A 24,293-nucleotide genomic window follows, 5' to 3' on the forward strand; every position below is an offset into this window, starting at 1 on the left:
TAATTGGGTCACCGTTCCACAGGCTGTACAGGAAGCCTGGCAGGGGAGGCCTCGGGAAACTTGCAATCATGGCAGAAGGTGAAGAGGAAGGAGTCACGTCCTACATGACTGGAGTGGTAGGAGGAGGGTGAAGGGGAAAGTGCTGCATACTTTTAAACAACCAGATCTCATAAGAACTCACTATCACGAGAACAGCAGGGAGGAATTCTGCCCCAATGATCCAGTCACCTCCCACCAGACCCCTCCTCCAACATTGGGGATTACAATTCTAAATGAGATATGGGAAGGGATACAAATCCAAACCATATCAGAAAGCTATGTTAAGTTCCATTAAAATATCCTAGCTTTGAACATCTGAATTATTCCAATTGGTTTTTCATTCATGTCTTTGTTGCATAGATTTTATAGTTGAGTAGTTTTTTTCCAGTAGGACTTAATACTGTATTTCTAGAATTTGTCTTGAAGTTGCATATTTGAACAATATTTCCCTGTATATAATCAAGAAAAAATTCTTCCTTTATTTCAGAGACATATTCTTATATAACATTTTTTAAAAATACAGTTTTTCTATTTCATTTACTGAGATCTCTTTTTCACGGATACTAATTTTCACATATTAAATTACATTTGTCATTCCATTTCCATCAAATTTTCTTTAATAATATCTAAATGTTTTTCCATGTTGAGATTACTTGATATCTTTCTTGTATGTGATTAATTTTATTAATTTTATTTTTAAAGAATTATATTTTGTCCTTGCATTGTATAATTTATTTATAATTATAATGATTATGTTTCTCAATGTTTGTTTTTGTACCTTAGCTTTGAAATCTGTTTTAATTAATTCTTGTATTTAATCTGTCTATCTCTGAGTTCTTGATTTATTGAACTCATATTCTTATTAAATTATTTTACTACATGATAAACTGATATAGAATCTGTATTCATATTTTGGTTAATATTACCAGATTATTTGCTTTGCATGCTATATGCCTTTGTGCCCTCTTTTTCTTCTTTGCTATAAGGAGTGTGCAGTTGTCAAGCCAGTTCTTCTCATTTTGCTTATGCATAACACAGTCATGTGTATGTAGACCATCTACCTGTTCTGATATCATATTTAAAATTATCTGTTTATTATTATAGTAAATATTATATTTTATTTGTTTCTTGTCTGTCTTCTCCATGAGAAGGTAAGCTTCAAATTTGGGAATGTCTGTGATTCTGCTTCCCTTTATTCTAAGTAGTCAAGCAAAATAAGGAAACAGAATTTTACAGAGAGGAAGGAGTTATTTATAATGGCAAGGCATAGGAGAGAGCATGACTTGTTTAGGAGGCTGTATAAAGTTTAGCTGTGCAGAGAAGGACAGGAACTTATGCTTAAGGCCATGTGAAACCTGACATGTTCTAAGTATGAAGGTTTCATGAATAAGATTTTCCATAGAGAAGATTCCTCTCAATAAAATGTGTAGAGTAGACTGGAATAAAACAGACTACAAGCAGGAAGACCACTTAGGGGGCTTCTAAGATAATCCAGGTTGGAAATACTGAATGGAAAGTTTGCCTTCCATTGAAGGTTTTATATCCATGGAAATAAAAAGAGGAAGACAACTTGCAGAGACATTCAGGAGGTAGAATGAATTGTGCATGGTTACTTATTAGATATAGAAAGAGGGTAGAATCAAGGACAGCAGCCAGGTTTCTGGTTTGGCTGATTTAGTTGACGGTGATGCCATCATCAAGGCTGGGACTGCTGAAGGAGAGGAAAGGTGAAAGGAGCCAACCACTGCTGGTCACTCTGCAAGGCTCCTTATAAACACCATGTCACTTAGTCTTCACAACAGTCCTACTGGGCTATAATGTAAAGGCTATGCTATTAGATATGAGTGAGAACCAACAGCAGCAGGGAGAGAATATGTGAAGCATTGTAGCCTATAGACTTTCCGGTAGAGATGTTTAGTGGACAGTAGATGTCTGGAGTTCAGAAGGGATGTCTGGGTTGGGGATTGGGATAGAAAAGTGAAAGCCTATTGGGATTGGGGATTGGGATAGAAGAGTGAAAGCAGTGGCTAAAATTGGGAAGGAGTAAGATCATTCTGCAAAACATAACTTGTATCTTCTTTTTTCAGTATTTTTTTGCCTGGATTTTCTTTCTCACTCTTTCCATTTGCCAAAGTCTTCAGCCATTTTTAATGCATGGCCCCAAAATAATTCTTTTCACAAAATCTGATGTATTTCAATCCCAGGATTTTCTTCTGCCCATAGTCCTTTATAGCCTTTTAGAAACTATACCTCTCTTAGACCCTTGTCAGTCTGTATTTTTAATGGATGTTTATATGTTTCTTTACTTTGTAAGGTCCTGGTTCACAGCCATATGCACTTCACAATGCCTAATATTGAGTTCTGTCCATGAGCAAAATCAATAAATTATTCATTAAACAGCCTAAGTATGAGATAAAGAAAACCTTAACAATTTCCTTTTTTAGGTAATGCTAATGCTATTTTATTTGTATCCCCTATTCCAACACACAGGGTTCTGAGGAAGAGAAATGAAATAAATGAAAAGCTAAAAATAGCACAGTCACATCCAATATGGTCTGTAAATGACAGCCAGGCTCAGGGCACACTGGATAAGCTGCTAAGAGAGAGTACTGTTACCTTCATGTTTCTCTGACAGCTTGTTGGTGGTGCACCTATGTTCCACTTTTGTTTTCTTAGCAAATAAAACGCGTTTCTTTGTTTCAATCCTGACACAGTGTTTGGCTTCTTCCTCGGTTAAACCTAGGAGATGAAGTACAAACAGAAACCACTGAGAATGCACCATTGACAATTCAAAGAGGAACATGGTGCTCTGGTCACTTCGGATCTACAGATACTTTATATTAGCCCCTCTCTTCCCCAGTCCCCATAATCTTAAGTGACAGCTCAAGTTAGTTTTACCTATAGATTCAATCCTGCATGGGCCCAGAGATGATCCTGAACAGGAGTCCCGTGAGTGCCCATCATCTCCCCTTTCAGCACTGACCCTCAGAAGCACATATGAGCCATTTTGGCCCTTCCCATGGGGATGGTGATGTCCTGTCCTTGTTGCCTGCCACTTGTTGCCACTTAACACAATGGAGCTTTAAGCTCTCCCTTTCTATTGGCCGCTGCACTGTGTAGCCCTGCAAATCAAAAGATTATGACGTGCTCTGATCTGTTCTCTACTCCAAGACCTACTTTCCGGGCCACTGCTGATTCTGTGAGACCTGAGTCCACTTCAATTGCTTCCCTGTTTGTCACCTAAAATGCAAATCTTCTTGGCCATGCTTCTTCCGTGAACACTCATTCTCATACCTCTCTGGGCTTCTTCTCCTTAATTCACCTGCTCACTCAGCCCCTACCTCCAAATCCTTTTTATTGTAATCTCAGAAATTCTGACTTCCTGACCTATGAATTATTTTCAGACTCCTCCTTGGCTATTCTATCTCTTCATGTTAATTCAAGCCTGTACTTGATACTGTTTCCACTGTCATCTCCAGCAGAAGTTCAAAAGGCCACATTCTCACCCCATTCATGTATGGGAATTGGGAATGATATCTTCCTAGTTTCTCACTGCTGCTTTCATTGGATGACTCCCCATGGTCTTATAACCTGCGAAAACCTTGATGCTCTGAGGCTCAGCCATCCGGTTTTAATACCTTTAGTCCTCATTATTCTCCTTTATCAAACTCTCTAGCATCATTTGTTGAAGATTTGGGCATCTGAACCACTCCCACCACAGTCCTGTGATCATTCTCAATGGCCTCAGAATCTGTGTGTTAGTGGAAGAGTGCAGGGAAACAGATGTAGTATTTTTGTAGGCTGAGTTAGTACTATCTGGGGTAATTGAGGGAAATCAACATTTTCTTTTTCTTAACAGCTTCCCCAGGCACCTGACTCACTGCTGGAAACATCAAAACTAAAATCCAGCTCTTTTGATGTTTAGTTAAAATTTGCCTTGCAGAATACGAGCACATGAGAGGTAGAGCTGTTAATATAAGCTCTTAAGCACCTAAAAGCAAAGTAGGTTATCAAATACTAGTATTTGGGGTTGCAGGTCATAATAGCAGGGATGGGTGTTTTTAGAGCTTGAGGTTCTGATTAGGTGTGATATTGAAATGGAAATCTGAAGGCATAGATCGCTGAGAAATGAGGCTGGGTAGATGTGAACTGGGCCTGTCTACCTCATTTTTTGTGACAGTTTTGAAGAGATGCATTGTTATTTGGGAGTAAAAAATTCTTGGTTTGAAGCCCTCATGCTTAGTTTGCATATTCAACCCTAACAAAAAGATGGTTGTTTCAGTCTGGTTGAATAAATATAATTCATTTTTCTTCTAGTAGGATTGTTTTTATAAGTGGGTTAGTCAAATATTTAGGCCATACTACGAATGTAATGCATTTATAGTGCATGACTCCTTTTCTTAACCATTCTTTAGGCTCTTATTATTTATAAGTAATAATTAAATTGTATGTGTCCAGTTAATTAACTATAACATAATGAATTAACTATAAACTTAATTTCATTTTTGAGGGCTATAGATGAATCTTCAAAGATTTGAATGATGAATATTTTTTATGACATTGGTCATGCAGTGATTAAAATATCTGGACTTTATCAATGAATTTCTGTGCAATCCTTTTCTTCCCTGCAGTATGTCCAGCTTTTTGCTGCTGGACCTCTATCTGTATGAACTAACAAGCTACTTGATACTGCAGTACCTCATCTCTTAAACCTCAGTGTTCCTCTGCTGTGGAGCACAGGAATGAGTATTTCAGTAATGTCTTTAGCTACCCTGATGCGTAAAAGACAGGAGTGTTAGTTGAAAATTTCACATTAGTAAGTAGTGTGGTGAATAATTTTTAACCTCCAATTCAGTGTAGAAGATGACTTCCCAATAAAAGGAGTTTAAAATTATCCTCTTGCATATTAGGATATTTTTATTGTTTGATGTTTTCACTGTGTTTATGAAACTCTTTTCACCTTGCACACTGAAGCAATGCCAACTTTTATTCAAGGTTTTAACTTGACTATGGGACATTGAACAATAGAGAAATAAATCAATGCATGCAAATAAAAGGCAATTTAATTTTGTTTTCTTTTTCTTGAGGGAAAGAAAGTACTATGAAATATTCAAGTCATTTTTCAAAAATTAACAACAGGGGATATAATTCTTATTGAATAAGGCATAGCAAAAATTAAATCTATACTTTAGTTTCATGTTATGATGAGGTAAAGGGAGAGAGAATAGGAGGAGAGAAAAGGGAAGAGGCCAGAATACATATTTATCTAGAGAGTTGGGAAAGCCAGGTAAGCACATGAACTGGAGAATTTCATTTTCTTGAGAAGTCATTTCTGTCTGGGTGTGCTTCATTTTAACAACAATTAAAATTTTACAGATAAATTATTCCATATAAACTTATTGAATACAAGAATATCGAATACATCTTACTGAGAGCTTGTTTGGAGGTTCTAGCAGGGGAGTGCAGCTACTCATATACCCTTGACCTAAGACCAGTCCTCCTCTGTTGGAGGTGGTCATCCTCTTTGACTGAGCATGCAGCTTTGGAGGGACACACATAAAGTGGTGAGGGAGGAAGGGGACACCCATCCAGCCAGCCAGATCAGCCAAATCAACCCTGGCGATCAAAGAAGTGACAGATGTCACAGCTAGATCATCCTCACATCCAGAATACATCTTACTGAATATATATACACACATATATATGCATATATGGACACACTGTCAATACATGCATACAGTGTATGTGTGTGTATGTATGTACTGTGTGCATGCATGTATATATGGATATGCATGGGTATTTATTTGGAATTTCCTATCACATCCCAAACTCCTTTTCTTTCCTTCATTATATGTAACTGTCAGTCTCTACCTCTACAGAGAAAGAGATGGAATGTGAGAAGGTTTCCGTAGGAAAGTATAGCTCATCACTCTTCATTTTGGTGATGGGGCTTTAACTAATAGTTGATTAAAGATTCACCCAGTTCTCAACTGACCTGATCCCTAAGCATTTAGGGGCTCTGCTCTGAATGCATGAGGATTATACTCATCAAGTGGGAAATTATTTTCTGGGCTATAGCAGAAGTGACCAGAATAATTTCTTCTGAGGGTGAGACAAAACCAAGTCAAGAGCAGAGATTTCCCCTAATTACTTCTGCTCAGCATTAGTGTTGATACTATTTGCAGTAGCAGAAGACATCAAATTCACATGCAAGAGTTACTCCAGTGGAAAGGATAACTGAAAGGAAACATAAAGCATGCAGGCAGTGTGGAAAGCCTACAATAACGCAAATCTTTTGCATTTAGTTTCAGGTTTCATCACCAGTAAGTGCTCATCTGGCCCACTCTAGCTTAGTCGCTTGTCAAGTTTTTAACTTTTCTTTCATCATATGTTTCATCTTGGCTTGTAGTTAAAATTATTACAGGAAAAAATTGCTATTTAATTCGTTATAAGGTATTGCTTTATGAAATTATATCCTATAAAAATGTTATTCATAAATTATCTTTTAGAATTTAGTGCCAGTACAAAGTTGGTTTCCCTTGAGATATTGGCATGCATCTTCCTCTTTGGGTAACCACTACTGTGTAAGCTTATGATGTTCCCAGATGTTAGGAAATTTAGAGACAAATATGATGCCTAAAATCACAGTGGTTAAGCATACTTATTTTTCTTTATTTTTTGGTCTTAGTTTTCTATTTTTGTTTTATTTATTTGAATGTGTATTTTTTATCATTCTTCATATCATTTTGGAAATAAAGCAGGATCTAAATAAAGTCAAAGCAGAATAATTAAAATGATAGAGTAAGAGAAAAATGTATTGCATGCTATCATACCAGTTAAAAAGAGTGAGGACTGAAGAAAGTTACCTGAGTTCTTTAGTTCCTCACTGCTAAACTGATAGAGAAGGTCATACACGCCTCCCAGGGAGCCAGAGGTGAAGTAATGAGTCCCAAAGTCATCGAATATTCGGCTGTACAAAGCAGAGTTGTATTCTAGAGGCAGATGGTTAAGTGCTTTCAAAAAGACATCAGAAAGGTGCAGATCTTTAGCTTTCGTTGTGAAGTTTAAGACTTTCATCACTTTATGGATCCTAATAAAACTAGAATCCTAAATGGAAGAAAGAAGTAAAAAGATGATTAAAGGTAATGAAAGTTTGAAGTACCTAGCATTTAAATGTCATTGATTTATCATTAGTTTCATTCCCACCACAGAATTACAATAATTCTCACTCTCTATTGCATGTTCTCACGTACAAAATTATAATTTTCATTTTGCTTTCCAATACCAATGTCCAATGTGCAAAACAGGTAAGATTATCTCAATAATGTAAACTGTGTAATGGGGGCACGTGTTCTCTAAGAAAGAAGAAATCAGTGATCAAAAAAGTCATCTTTCTCTCCTGATTGCCAATCATGGCTGCATTTCTACTGAGTTTTTATTTAGAATATTTGCTAATGTGAATAATTGAAAAAGAATTGTGTGCATTTTGAACTGGAAGTTATGCAACTGAGATGGAGGTTATGCAAGTGAGATTCAAGTTACAGCTTTGTCATTCTGGAAAAAGCGTTTCGATTCTCTAGACTTCAGTTGTCAAATGATAAGATGAGGGCTTGCACCTGGTAACACTTCACATCTCCTTTCAACTCCAAAATGCTGATTCTAAATTACTTAGTGGGTGAAATTAAGTAAAATTATTTATATTCTCTCTCCTCCACCCATATGCAGAAATATATGAGTTTTTTTGTTTACAAACTTATTTATTTATCATTTCTTTTTATGTCAGGTTAATTGAGAATTAGCTGGTCAATATTATGCTTAAAATCTCATTTCCTCAGATTATCTTTCTACATAGCCACTGAGGTTTATAAGTGTATTTATGTACATTGTTTTAAAAAAAATTTATATACTTTATCTGATCTCTCAATTTTAACAAATTGTAGTAATAGTAACAGAGTAAGGACCATGTTTTAGCAAAATAACTGTATTATAACTGTTAATTATTAACCGTATTCCTCTTTGCTATAAGTATGGCAAAAGATGACTGCTGACACAAAAGAAAAAAAATAATCCCAAGGATTGAAAAAGAATCAGCATTAATCTCCCTTCTGTCTTTCCTTTTCCCTGTCCCTCTCTTCCTTTATTCTACCTTCTGGCCTTCTATACATTCATTGCCTACCTATCTGAGATGCTGTAGATACAGAAGTGAAGAAGGCAGACAAAGTTCGTGCCTTTGTGGAACTTCCATTTTAGTAAGTGCTCATTAATTCTATTTTTAAGTTTAATACTTGAATTTTGTCAGAGAACCATAGTTTTCAAAAGTTGGAGAGCCCTTGTGCTTTTAATAAGAAGCACACTCACTCCCTGAGTATCTGAACTGCCCTTTCTGGAAGGTTCAATATTTCCAGGTTTCTTTAAGGTCTCAGTCGTGGAAAATACAAGTTAAACTTTGGTAGCTCAACTTAGCACAATAACCTCCATGGTGTTCTACTTGCTGGTTCATGATACCTGAAACTGGCTATTTTAGATTAAAAAAATACATTACTATAGGTTATTAAACCACATATAATCTATTTCAACAATGTGTGAGGTCCTGCTTTATTTTAATAATATTATTGTGGTTTCCATTTTGTAAAGTATATCAAGAAAATACTGAACCTGACTGAGTTATCTGGTATTTTGCTTGGAAACAGACTGTTTGTCCAACAAATGTCTAGTTTGATCTGTGAATGACGAAACAACTAAAGCTTTATGCTCTACTGAAAGACTTGGATTGATTTTCAATTTTGTGGTATCTTGTTTTCTCTACTTGAAGACTAAGAGAGGCTTCAGTAGTATTTTCTTTTTTCTTTTTCTTTTTCTTTTTTTTTTTTTTTTTTTTGTGAGATGGAGACAGAGCTAGCTCTGTCACCCAGGCTGGAGTGCAGTGGTGCCATCTTGGCTCATTGCAACCTTTGCCTCCTGGGTTCAAGTGATTCTCCTGCCTCAGCCTCCCGAGTAGCTGGGACCACAAGCCCCCGCCACCACGTCTGGCAAATTTTTGTATTTTTAGTAGATACAGGGTTTCACCATGTTGGTCAGGCTGGCCTCAAACTCCTGACCTCAGGTGATCTGCCTACCTCAGTCCTCCAAAGTTCTGGGATTATAGGCATGAGCCACCGCGCCCAGCCTCATTTCCTTAGACTGAAATTCCTTAATTCTGTTCAGAACTAATCAAAGATGACAGTAATGATGTTGGATTGAACTATATGAAGCTAACAATTTTTTGTTGTTGTTGTTGCTCTGTCACCCAGGCTGGAGTACAGTGGTGCGATCTCCGCTCACTGCAACCTCCGCCTCCCGGGTTCAAGTGATTCTCCTGTCTCAGCCTCCTGAGTAGCTGGGATCACAGGCGCACACTGCCACGCCCGGCTAATTTTTTGTATTTTAGTAGAGATGAAGTTTCACTGTGTTTCCCAGGCTGGTCTTGAACTCCTGAGCTCAGGCAATCTGCCCACCTTGGCCTTCCAAAGTGCTAGGATTACAGGCATGAGCCACCGTCCCTGGTGAGGCTAACAATTTTGTAAATCAAAAATGGTTGAATAACAGTAGTTTAATATGTTCCAACCTGATATTGTGAATAGCTCTAAATTTTTTAACTTTGGGACAGACTATTAGGAGATCAAACAATAGCTGTTTATCTACATATAAGGGTTTTACAAACGTTCTCTAGCATGTTTGAAATACATATAAATCACATACGTGAAGCAAGACATAGGACTGTACCTATGTCTCATACAAACATGTCTATCTATCTCCCTTCATCATTGACTATGTTTATAAGCAGTTATTTCCAATCCTGCATGCTATATTATACTGAGCTAGGGAGCTAAAAATAAAAAAGGCCATATTCCCATGCCCAATCCCAGGTATTCTGAATTAGTAGATTAAGGGAAAGTGCTAGAGATGTGTATTTTTACTTACAAGAAATTCTGATACTATCTTGTCTTACAAAGATAATTTGTTAAGTTTGGAGGGCTCTATAGGACCCACAGCCCATTCTAAACTAAGTTATATATATATAAAATATATGTTATATTATATATATAAATTATATATAGTTATATATAATTTATACATAAAATGAATCTATTTCATTGTCATTTTTACATGTCTGTGTCACCAGAACTGTGTTCTTTCTGTATTTTGCTAAAATTATGAATAAATAAATGAATGAATAAAGAGTCAAATATCTTGAAGTGTAATACAATGAATAAGAAAAGTAAGCAAAAATAAGACAAACAGATTTCAGTTCCCAACTCTAGCATTTATTTACTGTAAGATCACTGGAAGTCACTTAGCTTCTTGGACTTTAGTTAGTGCCTGACTCATGGTAGGTATTTGATAAATGTTCGTTGAATTAAAAATGCGTATATGAATTTCAATCTATTCATCTGCAAAATGATGTTTAAATATTGACTCTGATAATCTCTTAGAATTGTTTTGAGGATAAATGAAATACTTGGGAAAACTATCCACACAGTGCTTTAGGTCTTATATTTGTATAAGTGCATAAATGGTTGACTAAATAAAAGTAGAAGAGCAATACGATAAAAGTAGGAGCAACCGTAATATGGTGGCCTCCAGTTGCTGATCTCATTAACTCTGACATTGGTACCTCTATTTCCTCCCTCTCTAGTTCCATGATTCAGGGCTCATTCTCCTCATTCATCTCTTGGGAAAGAGCAAATGCTACTTAGAGTGGTGGTTGTAGTGAGCAATAGACAGTATTTTAAAATATCTTTGTAAATGTCTAAAAATTTCAGATAGAAATGTGTCTTCTAAATCATTTAAACACTGTGAGACATATCTAAGAGATTTAAAATGAAAATAATAGGAGAAAAAGGAACACATGAAGCTGTAGCTTTGTATATTAAAAGGGTTCTCTAAGTCCCTGGCAAGATTAACAGGAAAAGTCCAATACTTAGACATACCCTAAGTTCCAAGTGCAAAAAAGAATTGTAACTTTTCAAGCAGGGAAAAGAAAATGAAAAAATTTGCTCTGAATATGATTGTTCTTATACAGCAATGGAAATTAGAAGACAATTGAATAACATCTACTATCAAGAGAAGAAGATTATGATACAGTCAGGATATTCTTTATATTTATTGCTCAGGGAAAAGGCAGGCAATGTTAGATACAAAAGATTTAGAGAATATACCTTGCATGTGTCCTATATGAGGAATTAAAAAAAAAAAAAGGCAACTGAATGAGAACAGGGATCTCAAGAAAAGGAATATAAGAGGAAAAAAATGGAGATAGGTAAATGTGCGTGTGTTTACATAAATGTAGCAAAATACACATTTTGTTATATTTTATATATGTATTTGTATATGTGTACAAATATATACATCTATACAAATATGTATATAACATATAACAAAAATATAAAATACAGATTGTCATATTACATGAAAGGTCAAAGTTCTGTTGTATGGAGTTTATAAGAAGCACACCTACAACAATATGAAAAAAAAGTGAAGATAAAAAACATAACAATAACAGTCAAATGCATGCAAAATGGAACCATTAATATACATAATATTTCTATAACTTTTGAAGTGAGATATAACAAAAAATGGAAAAATTACTTAAATCTGTATTAGAAGTCATACTGGTACAATATCAAAACTCTCCCCTTCTTATTGCATGATTACTGGAATTACTGTTAATTTTCAAGAAAGAATAAAAGGTTGGAAACCATTTTTGATACCTTTTTGTGAGAGGCTTGAATGGCTTGTTTGAAGGCAGAATTATGGTTGATATTTTCACTTCTCTTTGAGGAATAAAAAATTGGTACACTGAAAGAGCTCCCCCCCTGACTTGAGAATGAGCCTTGTTGATTTTCATTGTGTCCAAGAGAAGTTAAATCCTTGTAGAAATCTGTTTTCAAGTCATCTTCTGCAGTTTGTACCTGGAGAAAAATCCATGTAAAATAAAATATAATTTAGGAAATACTGGAGCGACTTGTGGATATCTAATGAAATGATGATTTATTTATTTATGCACTCAGCCAGTATTTATTGAGGACACATTTTGCTAGAGAACAAAGAATAGTGTTATTTCCTGCACTGAGGGGTTAATAGTTTAGTTAGAGAGAAAGATAATCACCAACACTTAATGAGGTAAGTACTGTGTGACCAGTGGAATCCCACAGGAAATATAAGACCCTGAGAGGCAATATCAGGAAACCCTCCCTCAAGGAAATGCCACCTAAGCTGAGACTTAACAGGGTGATAAACAATGAAGGTTATTTTTAGCATGTCTGTGATTTTGATGCAGTGTGCAGTCTAACTAAGATACTTTTCAGTTCTGACAACTGGGCTTGTTCTTTATAACCAAGTCCCACCTTGTTTTATACTTTTTCAAGAGACGAGTCTGACTTCGGGATCACAGTTTCTGAGGTTGGGTTCCCATTGCCTGCTACCAAAGCTCCCAGTGCTGATCAACTCTTGATTGACCTTTGTGTTAGTCATTACGCTGTTTACAACTACTCTAGTCTCTTTCTGGGCACATAAAAAGCATGCATTTCCCTACTCTTTTTGGCCAATAAAATGTAAATATAAATGGTATCTGTCACTTTAAGAGTTGATGGGCAATATGTCACTTCCCCCCGCCCCTTTTTTTTTTTTTGCAATTCATCATCACACCAGTCAGGATGTGTCAAAGCAGGATCCCTTAAGTCCCTTGCTTTCTAAGTGACTATTATCAGTAGAACGTACAGTATGAGTGGCACTGTTTTAAGACACTGACATCTTAGTATTGATATTGCAGTGTAACCTAACTTGTCTTGATTAAAATGCTGAGTCTGGTGTCTGTATTCCATCATCTGTCCTGTAGTTATTCTAAGGTCTTCTAACTCCCTGCCCAGTTGCCTTCTCTTCCTTTCATGAGTCTCTTTAATCTTTGTATACCAGCCAGCCAATTATTTCATCTATCTTCATAAGCTACAATACTACAAAAGAAGGGAAGTGAGATGCCTGCTGAATTTCTCCTCCTCTATTGTTTTCAATAAGGTATAGCTTAGGTTTGCATAGCTGCCTGCTAAAAGCATGCCTAAAGAATGAAGTTATACAGAGATCAGTTAAAAGAAAACCAATAGCTTGTGACCTTGACTCTAGTCATTCCCAAATTTTTGTTTGAAGAAATACCACTATGACCTTCTTCAGCCATATCACTATGACTTCAGCCATACCACTATGGCAGAGTTAAAGATTAGCTCAGGTAGCTTCATAAGGTTGGACAAGTCTTAGAGCTACATTGATAAGGAAATGAGTTTAATCTGCTGTAAAAGAATTTTCAGGCTGTATTTCCTCATGTAACTTGTTATCCAGGCTTGTGTTATCAAGCTTTGTGGGTTAACCCAGTGATCTGTTAGTAAATGTTTAACAACTAGCTCTCTGGGAAGGGGAAGAAAGCCCTGATTTGCTATAGCATTTTTCTTTTCCATTGTGCATATATTCCTACCATGGCTGATTTCAAGCTACCTATGTGATGCCCTGAATTCATATTGGGAAGAGATGCACAGTGGCAAATTACAAAGTATTTTCATAATACAGATCCAATAGATGTAAATAACCCCAATAGCATGGATAATGGTAAAATGTAGCCAAATAATTGAAAAGTGATCAATTTTGAGCAATTATAACCTTTGTTTTTAATGTGTTTACCTGTGAGATAATATATTTGATATTTAATAATGGCTGTGTTTTGACCAACAAATATATGAAAAAATGCTCATCATCAATAATCATCAGAGAAATGCAAATCAAAGCCACAGTGAGATGCCATCTCACACAAGTCAGGATGACTAGTATTAAAAAGTCAAAAAAACAACAGATGTTGGCAAGGCTGTGGAGAAAAGGAATGCTAATACACTGTTGGTGAGAATGTAAATTAGTTCAGCCACTGTGGAAAGCAGTTTGGATATTTCTCAAAGAACTTAAAACAGAACCACCATTTGACCCAGCAATCTCATTCCTGGGTACATATCCAAAAGAAAACAAATTGTTCTACCAAAAAGACACATGCACTTGCATGTTTATCGCAGTACTATTCACAATAGCAAAGGCATAGAATTAACCTAGGTGCCAATCAGCAGTGGATTGGATAAAGATAATGTGGTACATATGTGCCATGGAATACTAGCAGCCATAAAAAGAATGAAATCATGTCCTTTGCAGCAACATGGATACAGCTGGAGACCATTATCCTAAGCAAATTAACACAGGAACAGAAAAACAAATACTACATGTTTTCACTTATAAGTGAGAGCTAAACATCGGGCACTCATGGACATAAAGATGGCAACAACAGACACTGGGGTCTACTAGGGGGGGAAGGGAGGGAGGGGCAAGAGTCGAAAAACTGTTGGGTACTCTGCTCAGTACCTGGGTAAAGGGATCATTTGTACCCCCAACCTCAGCATCACACAATAAAGCCAGGTGACAAACTCGCATATGTATTCCCTGAATCTAAAATGAAAGTTGAAAAAGAAAAAAAAAAATCTATGTTTCACAATTGGATTCCAAAATTCCTGAAAAGTTAACAGTTGACTCTTGTGAACTCAAAGAGCTGGGTCCAGCACATCATTGTCTAACTTCAAGGGGGATACATTTTAACTGATAGTTTATGAAGGTGCTCAGACTTTTAACCCACTGTGTGGAGTTTTAATGTCTTTCTTGATATACTACAAATGTCTCATCTAACATAGGCCGCCTCCGACTATAAGAGCCAGAAGCCAGGAATCCTTATTTTTCTGTGCCATTTATTTGCTGTATAACTCTGAGAGAGTTGTTTAACTCCAATAAGCCTAAATTTTCTTTTCTTTTCTTTTCTTTTTTTTTGAGAGAGTCTCACTCTGTCGCCCAGGCTGGAGTGCAGTGGCGTGATCTCGGCTCACTGCAGCCTCTACCTCCTGGGTTCAAGCAATTCTCATGCCTCAGACTCCTGAGTAGCTGGAACTACAGGTGTGCACCACTACGCCCAGCTAAGTTTTGTATTTTTAGTAGAGACAGGGTTTCATCATGTTGCCCAGACTGGTCTTGAACTCCTGACACCCAAGTGATCTGCACCCCCTTGGCCTCTCAAAGTGCTGGGATTACAGATGTGAGCCACCACACCCGGCTAAGCCTAAATTTTCTGTTAGTAATGTGGATGTAAACAATTTTCTACCTTTCTGGGGAGGTTGTTATGGGAATCAAGTAAAGCAATATATGAAAGTACTTTGAAGACTCTAAGGTATCATATGAGTATGAAGTGTTATCTAAGCCTCAATTTGCTCCAGCCTCATATACTTCCTTTATTTTGTTACTTGTAAAACTACATGAAATAGATGTTTGCTGAAAATACAGGCAATATCCTTTTGTGAAATGACCATATTTTGAAAGTAAACTTGTGGATTGGTTGTTTTGGAACTGGAAAGCAACTTCCATCAGAACAATATTACATATAAATGTTTAGGTTTTAGCTCTGTCTACAAAGCCTGTTCAAATACAATATATCTTAAGAGCAGTATTATCAGTCTTCCCAGAGGTATTCAAATTTGACGGTTAGTTCCCAAAGACATTCCCCACCTATCAGTATATATTAGATGGTTTTAAATTGAGTGAATTGAATTGGAAAATGCCTGTATTTATATGTATATAAAGGTCTTTTTAAAGGAAGGATTAAATGAGTTTTTGCTGAACTCATATTACCCATAAAGTGGTTCTCAGAAATAATTACAACTCTGAAATTCTCTCTAGCTTGTCAAATTTCTATGCATGAACGTCACCATTAAAACGTGTATTTTCTGTTCTTATCACAATTTAAAAGAAGCAGATTACTCACTTTAGTGCAACGAGTATGGAGCACTTACGTGTAAAGCATGAGTTAGATTCTGAGAGTAGGTAGTATGCTGCTCATTATAATTTACTAAAAGAAACAAATAAACCAAACCAACTAATAAAATAGGAAGAAAAGTAAGCAGAACTATCTCATTAGACTGACTCATCATGATTTTTCTTATGAGCCTGGCACTTTAAAAAAAAAGTCTATTTTTTGTGGTTATCTAAGAGCACTACCTAGGTTAGGAGAAAATTCTGAAGAAATCAAACTGTTTATCTGTGTGGAGCTATTTTAGAGCTGAATATTCAATGGAGAAAGCATGGACTCGAATCAGGAAAACCTGGCCCTGAATCTTGAATTCACTTCTTGCTAGCTGTTTGACTTCTGGAAAATTAGTTACCTTAGTTTTTTCATCTGTAAATTGATAACACTGGCCTCATTGTGTGTGCATGGATAAAATACAAACACATAACACGTGATTAAAATGGTTCACCACCTTTTTATTCTGTCCCTTCATTCATCACTAATTTTGCATGAGAAATTTAGCTTATAATCACTGACGGTGTTGGAGTTGCCACCATGCTAGGCTGTCATACCTCAAAGCCGACATTTTCCAGATTGGCCGGAACACGGTATGGATTACTTGTCCTACTGCTTTTGACAGTTTTACATATTCCTCCAGTGAAAGAGTTATCAAGGACTTCTCCTCTGGGCTCTCCTGCCAGAAAATGAAACCTAGAAACAAAGTAATTTTCAGGAATTCAACAGATGTAGAACAATCTTTAAAATTTACCTTAGTTATATGAAAGGAATTCCTCTTCTAAACCTTTTTGCCTCAAGACAAATGACTTGAAGGAATCCCCCACACCTCCGCTTTTTTTTCCTAGTCCATGGTGAGGCATGCAAGGAAGCTGGAAAGCCCAAACTCAGCTTCTCTGGCTCTATTAGGTTCTCCTATTCCACTTACTTAATTGTTCTTGGCTTTCAACATACAACAAAATCTGGATTTATAATTTTTTATGACTTACAAAGCCAGTGCAAAGTTTGGAAGCAGATTATGAAATAAGTTATTATATAATAAATGCTATCCCAGGTCTACTTCTTTCTGAGTGGAATTCTAATAGAGAGCTCATAATAAAATAGTAACAGCAATATTTTAATGGAATTGTAATAATATTATAGTTTTACTAATAACTGACTATAATATTTAAAATATATTTTATTTAACAAATGCTTATATACTATTTACTATAAGCCAAGCAATAGTAAGTGCTTTACAAATATTAACTTGGTTAAGTACTTTACTAATAATAACTTATATTTATTACAACCATATGATGTAGATATAATTATTATACCTGTTTTACAAATGAGGACATTGAGGCACATAGAGATTAATTAGCTTAGCATAAATCAACTATTTAAGAGGTTATTTTGTTATAGATAAAAAAACTTCTCCAAGATGCTAATGCTTTTCCAAATTCTAAGAGATATTAATATGTATTCTGTGAAAAAAGTAGTTTTTTTGTCAAACAGTTTGGTAATGCTGTATTACATAGATTATAAAAATCGTTTTCTACAGGTCATGTCACAGCCTTAAAAATATAAATTGTCAGTCTCCAAGTACATTTGACCAAATAACCTTGTCTTTCATAGAACATGTAGTGTAGTTCTACAGAATATCACTGGAAAATTCCATGTAGCAGAAGGAATAGCACCAATGCCCTTCCCTTCTCATGACCCTTCAGTACACCCATCCCTTCTGATAGTTGTGGGGGCTCAAGGGAACTCTAAACATCCTCAAGAATGTCATTGACCACTTACATGTCTGTTTCCCTTGTACTTCTATGGCATTAACTCACAAGACAAAATGTACCTGAAAGGCACCACCTTTACCAGAGCTGAAATATTAAGTTTTGTAACTATCACAAAGATCTGAAAAAAAGACAAATAGACTCATTCATTTGTGAGGGAATCAAGAAGCAGTTCACTATGGGAGGCTTTTGCGATCTATTAGACATTTGGATTTAAAGCAGAAAATTCGACCAATTACTCAGGCGCTTCTAACCAAGGGGCACAATATTTTTCTATCAAAGAGGAGCAAGGATAGTTTGAAAGTTGTAAAGTGATGTTAGAATACTGAAAAGAAAGTAAGGCTAATATAAATACTTGTAAATTCTCTACCAATAAAATTGTGTTAATGTAAAAGTACACAGACACACACATACACACACACACACACACACACACACAGCTTTTAAGTTTCTGAAATGGTTTCTTCACTTGAAAATGGAGCTAATTGCTTTTTTATAGTAGTTGTGGAAATTAATAGTGACTAGCACAGGCCTGGCCTGCCCTATGAAAGGAAACAATACATACTATCTCTCCCATTTTTTCCACCAGGGAAAGTATATTTTAATTTTATTAAAAGGTTGCATACTAAGTTCAAAAGTAATTGCTTGCAGAAACAAAATCAACAAACAAAAATCAAATGTATTTCCCTACAAATAGCAATGAACAATCCAAAAATAAAATTACAGAAACAATTCCATTTATAATAGCCTCTCAAAGAATAAAATCCTCAGGTATTTATTTAACAAAAGAAGTCTAAGACTCATATACTGAAAAGTATAAACAATGTTGAAAGATATTAAGTGAAATCTCAATGAATAGAAAGACATTCCATATTAGTGGATTGGCAGAATTTGTGTTGTTGAGATAGCAGTACTTCCCAAATTGATTTATAGATTCAAGACAATCATTATCAAAATCTCAGCTGCCTTTTTTTGGTAAAAATTCACAAGACAATTCTAAAATTCAAAAGACCCAGAACAGCCAAGAGAATCGTGAGAAAGAAGGACAAAGTTCAAGGAATTACCTTCCTGATACACAATTTACTTCAAAATTAGGGTCATCAAGACAGTGTAGTAGTACTGGCATGAGGATAGACAGACATATAGATCAATGGAACAGAAATGCATCTAGAAATAAACCCATACATCTATGGTCAATTGATTTTCAACAAGGGTGCCAAGACAGTTCAATGGGGAAAATAGTCCTAAATGAATGGTGCTGTAATGACCTAATGGTTATATTGCAAATGAATGAAATTGGGCCCCTTTCTCACATAATGCAAAAAAATTAATCAAAATAGATAATAGAACCTAAATTTAAGAGCTGAAACTATAGAACTTTTAGAAGACAATATAGGACTAAATATTTGTGAACTCCAGTAAGACAAAGCCTTCTTAGATATGACATTAAAAGCACATTCAACAAAAGAAGAAATAAATATATTGAACTCCACCAGAATTAAAAACTTTAGTGCTTTAAAGGACACCAACAAAAAAGTGAAAATACAACTCATATAATGGGAGAAAATATTTCCAAGTCACATATCTAATGAGGAACTTACACCCAGAATATACAAAAAATGCTTGGAACTAAATAAAAAAACCAAATTACTCAATTAAACCATGAGCAAATAATTTGAGTATCTAAATATATAGTTCTTTGAAAAAATATGAAAATGACTAATAAGCATGTGAAAAAATGCTCAAAGTTATTAGTCATTAGGAAATACAAATCAAACCTGCGATGAGATACCAGTTCATAGCCATTAGAATAGCTTTAACCAAAAGATGAACAGAAACAGTTTTGATGAAGGTGTGGAGAAGTTGATTTTCAATCATATGTAACTGGGGGAAATGAAAAATGGTGCAGCTGTTTTGGAAAATAGTTGGGAGTTCTTCAAAAATTAAATGTATAATTACCATAAGACCCTGCAATTCCATTCCTAAGTATATATGAAAGAGAATTGAAAATATATATCAATGCAAAAACTTGTACATGAATGTTCATAGCAGCATTACTCATACTAGTCAAAGTAGGAACAAACCAAATGTTCATTAGCTGATGAATGAATCAACACAATGTGATAGAATGATACAATGGGTTGTTATTCTCTCATACAATGGAATGAAGTATTAACATATGCTTTATATGGGTGATTTTTAATATTACATTTTTAAAAATTGTCACATAATTGTACATATTTATGGGGTACGTAGTGATGTTTAGATACATACAATGTATAGTAATAAAATCAGGGTAATTAGCATATTCATCACCTCAAACATGTTGGGAATATTCAAAATTTTCTCTTCTCGGTATTTGAAAATATGTACTAAATTATTGTTAACTATAGTCACCTGCAATGCTATAGAACACTAGAACTTATTCCTCTTATCTAGCTGTAATTTTGTAACCTTTAACCAATCTCTTCCTATCCTCCCCTTCCCCTACTCTTTCCAGTCTCTTGTAACCCTTATTCTAATCTACTTGTATGAGATCAACTTTTTAAGCTTCTGCATGTGAGTGAGAACATGTAGTATTTATGTTTTTGTTTCTGGCTTATTTCACTTAATATCCTCCAGGATCATCCATGTTTCTCCAGTGACAAGGTTTCATTCTATTTTATGGCTGAATAGTACTCCATTTTGTATATGTAACATGTTTTCTTTATCCATTCATCTGTTGATGGACACTTAGACTGATTCCATATGTTGGTTATTGTGAACAGTGCTGCAAATAAACTTAGGGATGCAGATATCTGTTCAGTATACCGATTTCCTTTGCTTTGGATGTATGCTCAGTAGTGGGATTGCTGGATCATATGGCAGTGCTGTTTGTAGTTTTTTTGAGGAATCTCCATACTGGTCTCCATAAGAGCTACATTAGTTTACATTCTCACCAACAGTGTATGAGCTTCCTTTTCTCCACATCCTTTCCAGCATTTGCTATTTTTTTGTCTTTTTGATAATAGTCATTTCAACTGTAGTGAGATGATACCTCATTGTAGTTTGATTTTCATTTTCCCGATGATTAGTGATGTTGAACATTTTAAAATATATTTGTTGGGCTCCTTTTGGTAAATGTCTTATTAAGTTCACTGGTGAACTTAATCCGTTAAATTGGATTATTTATTTATTTTTGAGGTGAGTTGAGTTCCTTATATATCCTGGATATTAACTCCCTGTCAGATGAATAGCTGGCACATACTTTTTTCCACTGTGTATGTTTATGTTGTCTTTTCACTCTGTTACTGTTTTCTGCACTGTACAAAAAGCTTTTTAGTTTGATATAATCCCATTTGCTTTTGTTGCTTCTGCTTTTGAAGTCTTTTTCATAAAATGTTTTCTCACATCAATGTTCTAAGGGTTTTCCCCTACATTTTTCTCTAATAGTTTAATAGTTCTGGAATTTTACATGTAAGTCTTTAAGCTATTTGGAGTTGATTTTTGTATAGCATGAGTGGTGGGGGTCCAGTTTCATTCTTCTGCATATGGATATCCAGTTTTTCCAGCACCATTAATTAAAGAGACTCTTGTTTCCCCAGTGCATGATCTTGGCACCTTTGTCAAAAATCAGTTGGTTGTAAATACATGGTTTTATTTCTGGGTTCTGTATTCGGTTCCATTGGTCTATGCATCTATTTTTATGCCAATAGTGTGCTGCTTGGGTTACCATAGCTTTGTAACATGTAACACATGTAACATGTATATTTTGAAATGTAGTAGTGTGATGCCTTTGGCTTTTTTTTTTTTTTTTTTTTGCAGAGTCTCTGTGTGTTGCCCAGGCTGGAGTGCAGTGGCACGACCTCTGCTCACTGCAACCTCCACCTCCCGGGTTCAAGCGATTCTCTTGCCTCAGCCTCCCAAGTAGCTGGGACTACAGATGCCCACCACCACGCCTGGCTAATTTTTGTATTTTTAGTAGAGATGGGGTTTCACTATGTTGGCCAGACTTGTCTTGAACTCCTGAACTCATGATCCACCCGCCTCGGCCTCCCAAAGTGCTGGCACAGGCATGAGCCAGCACTCCAGGCCTGTTCTTTTTGCTCAAGATTGCTTTGGCTATTAAGGTTTTTTGTGGTTCCATATGAATTTTAGAGCTTTGTTTCTATTGCTGTAAAGCAAGTCATTCGTGTTTTAATAGGGATTACCTTGAATTTGTAGATTGCTTCGGGCAGTTGAGTCACTTTAACAATAGTAATATTCCAATCCATAAAAACAGGATGCCTTCCCATTTCTTTTGTGTCCTCTTCAAGTTCTTTCATCAGTGTTTTATAGTTTTCCTTGCAGAGATCTTTCATCTCCTTGGTTAAATTTATTCCTAGGTATTTTTTTGTAGCTCTTATAGTTAGCTCTCTTGATTTCTTTTCCCTCTAGCTCGTGATAATATATAGAAATGCTACAGATTTTTGTATATTGATTGTGTATCCTGCAACTTTACTGAATTCATTTATCATTTCTAGGGCCTTTTTTTTTTTGGTGGAGTCTTTAGTGTTCTCGCTATAAAAGATAATGTCATCTACAAACAGTGACAATTTGACTTACTCCTTTCCAGTTTGGATCCATTTATTTCTTTTCCTTGCCTAATTGCTCCAGCAAGGACTTACAGGACTATGCTGAATAACAGTGGTAAGAGCAGGTATCCTTGTCTTATTCCAGTCCTTGGAGGAAAAGTTTTCAACTTTTCTCTACCCAGTATGATGCTAGCTGTGGGTTTGCCATATACAGCCTTTATTGTGTTAAGTTTCTTCTATTTCTAATTTTTGAGAGTTTTTATCATGAAAGGATGTTGAATTTTATCAAATACTTTTTCCACAACTATTGAGGTGATCATATGTTTTGTTCTCTCTGTTGATGTGATGACATTATTGATTTGCATATTTTGAACCATCCTTGCATCTCTGGATTAAATACTACTTAATTATAGTAGATATCTGGGATGTACTCTGGGGTTCTGTTTGCTAGTATTTTGCTGAGGATTTTTGCATCAGGGATATTGACCTGTAGTAGATTTGTTGTTGTTGTTGTTGCATCTTTATCTGGTTTTGGTATCAGTGTTATACTAGTCTTGTAGAATGAGTTTGGAAAAGTTCCCTTTCGATTTTTTGGGATAGCTTGATAATAATTGGTATTAGTTCTTACAAAGTTTGGTAGAATTCAGCAGTGAAGCCATCCAGTCCTGGGCTTTTCTTTTTTGGGAGACTTTTTGTTATTGATTTAATCTCATTACTCACAATTGGTCTGTTTTCTATTTCTTCTTGATTCAATCTTGGTAAGTTTTTTTTTGTATCCAGGAATTTATCCATTTCTTTTAGATTTTCAAATTTGTTGGCATATTGCTGTTTATAATAGTCTTTAATGATCATTTGTATTTCTGTAGTACCAATTGTGAGTATTGGGATGAATCTTAAAAACATTATGCTAAGTGCAAAAAGGCAGACACAGGCTGCATATTGTAGAATTTCATTTTTATGAAATGTCTAGAATACACAAATTTACATGAACAGAAAGTGAATTAGTGGTTTCCTAGGGTTAGGAGTCAGGTAGAAGGGGGAAAGAAATGAAGCTTGATATCTAATATGTACAAAGGTTTTACTTTGGGTATGTTGAAAACATTCTAAAATTATATCATGGTGATGGTTATATAAGTCTTTGAATACGCTGAAGATGGTTGAATTAGACACTTTCAATGGATGAATTGTATGGCATGCAAATTACATCTCAATAAGGCTGTTTTTTAAAATGAGTGAATTCTGTGGGTTGTCTAAGATGCATATTATATTCAAATAGCTGAAAGCATAACAGCGAGGACTAAAAAACCATTGACCTTATACTGCTTTACACTATGTACTTATGTTTGTCACAAGCAAAAAAGGGCTTGAGAAAAATGGCTCTCAGGTCATGAGGAATCTATGAAGGTGACAGCTATTTGTGGAGAACCTGAAGATAGGATTTTATGGAGGTATTTCCAGCAGACCATGCCTGAGAAATCTTTTAGGAGTTAAGCCAGCTATGAAGAAATTTTCAGTCTTATTCTTTCCTTCCTCCTCTCAGATGTTGATACTGACTTAAAATAATTTAGTGTTTCACATACAGCATTGTTTCTAAAGTGCTTTGATCTAATCTGATTTATGTGTCATACTTTGTAACTTTTTGAATATAACTAGAAATATATAAATCAAAAATATATATTTGTGTGTATGCATGTATTTTCACATATATATGTGTGTGATCCCTACTCACAGATCTCACTATTTTGCCACATAGATGAATGTGTCCTTTCAACTGTGTGTGTATCTATACACACACTAAGCCTGGGTAAAAACAAATAGCATGCTATTATTGCCTGATTCTTGCTTCATATTTAGAACCTAGTGACTGATGTTGGCAATGTAGAAATTTTTATATCTCTTGTTAAAATTTTTCTTGGAGAAATATCAGTTAAGAAGGTCAGCCACTCAGGAAGCTATTTTTTTTTTTTTTTTTTGTGGTTAGAAATATGTTGGATAGCAGGATTGGAGAGGCAGAGATTCTAA

At 35.4% G+C, this 24,293-nt stretch overlaps 1 protein-coding gene across 13 annotated transcripts in view; it reads right to left on the reverse strand.

Annotated features, from left to right (window-relative positions):
• C6 (complement C6) overlaps positions 1–24,293 on the reverse strand; it is a 119,354-nt gene that overhangs the window by 27,454 nt on the left and 67,607 nt on the right. For all 13 annotated transcript variants that reach the window (XM_047417689.1, NM_001115131.4, XM_011514119.4 and 10 more), the window contains 4 exons: positions 16,501–16,639; positions 11,790–11,990; positions 6,906–7,146; positions 2,656–2,778 (listed from right to left, as the gene is read on the reverse strand). In XM_047417689.1, coding sequence (XP_047273645.1) covers positions 2,656–2,778; positions 6,906–7,146; positions 11,790–11,990; positions 16,501–16,639 — 704 coding nt within the window. The remainder of the gene's footprint in view (positions 1–2,655; positions 2,779–6,905; positions 7,147–11,789; positions 11,991–16,500; positions 16,640–24,293) is intronic.

This window comes from Homo sapiens, chromosome 5, assembly GCF_000001405.40.
Source record: "Homo sapiens chromosome 5, GRCh38.p14 Primary Assembly".
NCBI lineage: Eukaryota > Metazoa > Chordata > Mammalia > Primates > Hominidae > Homo > Homo sapiens.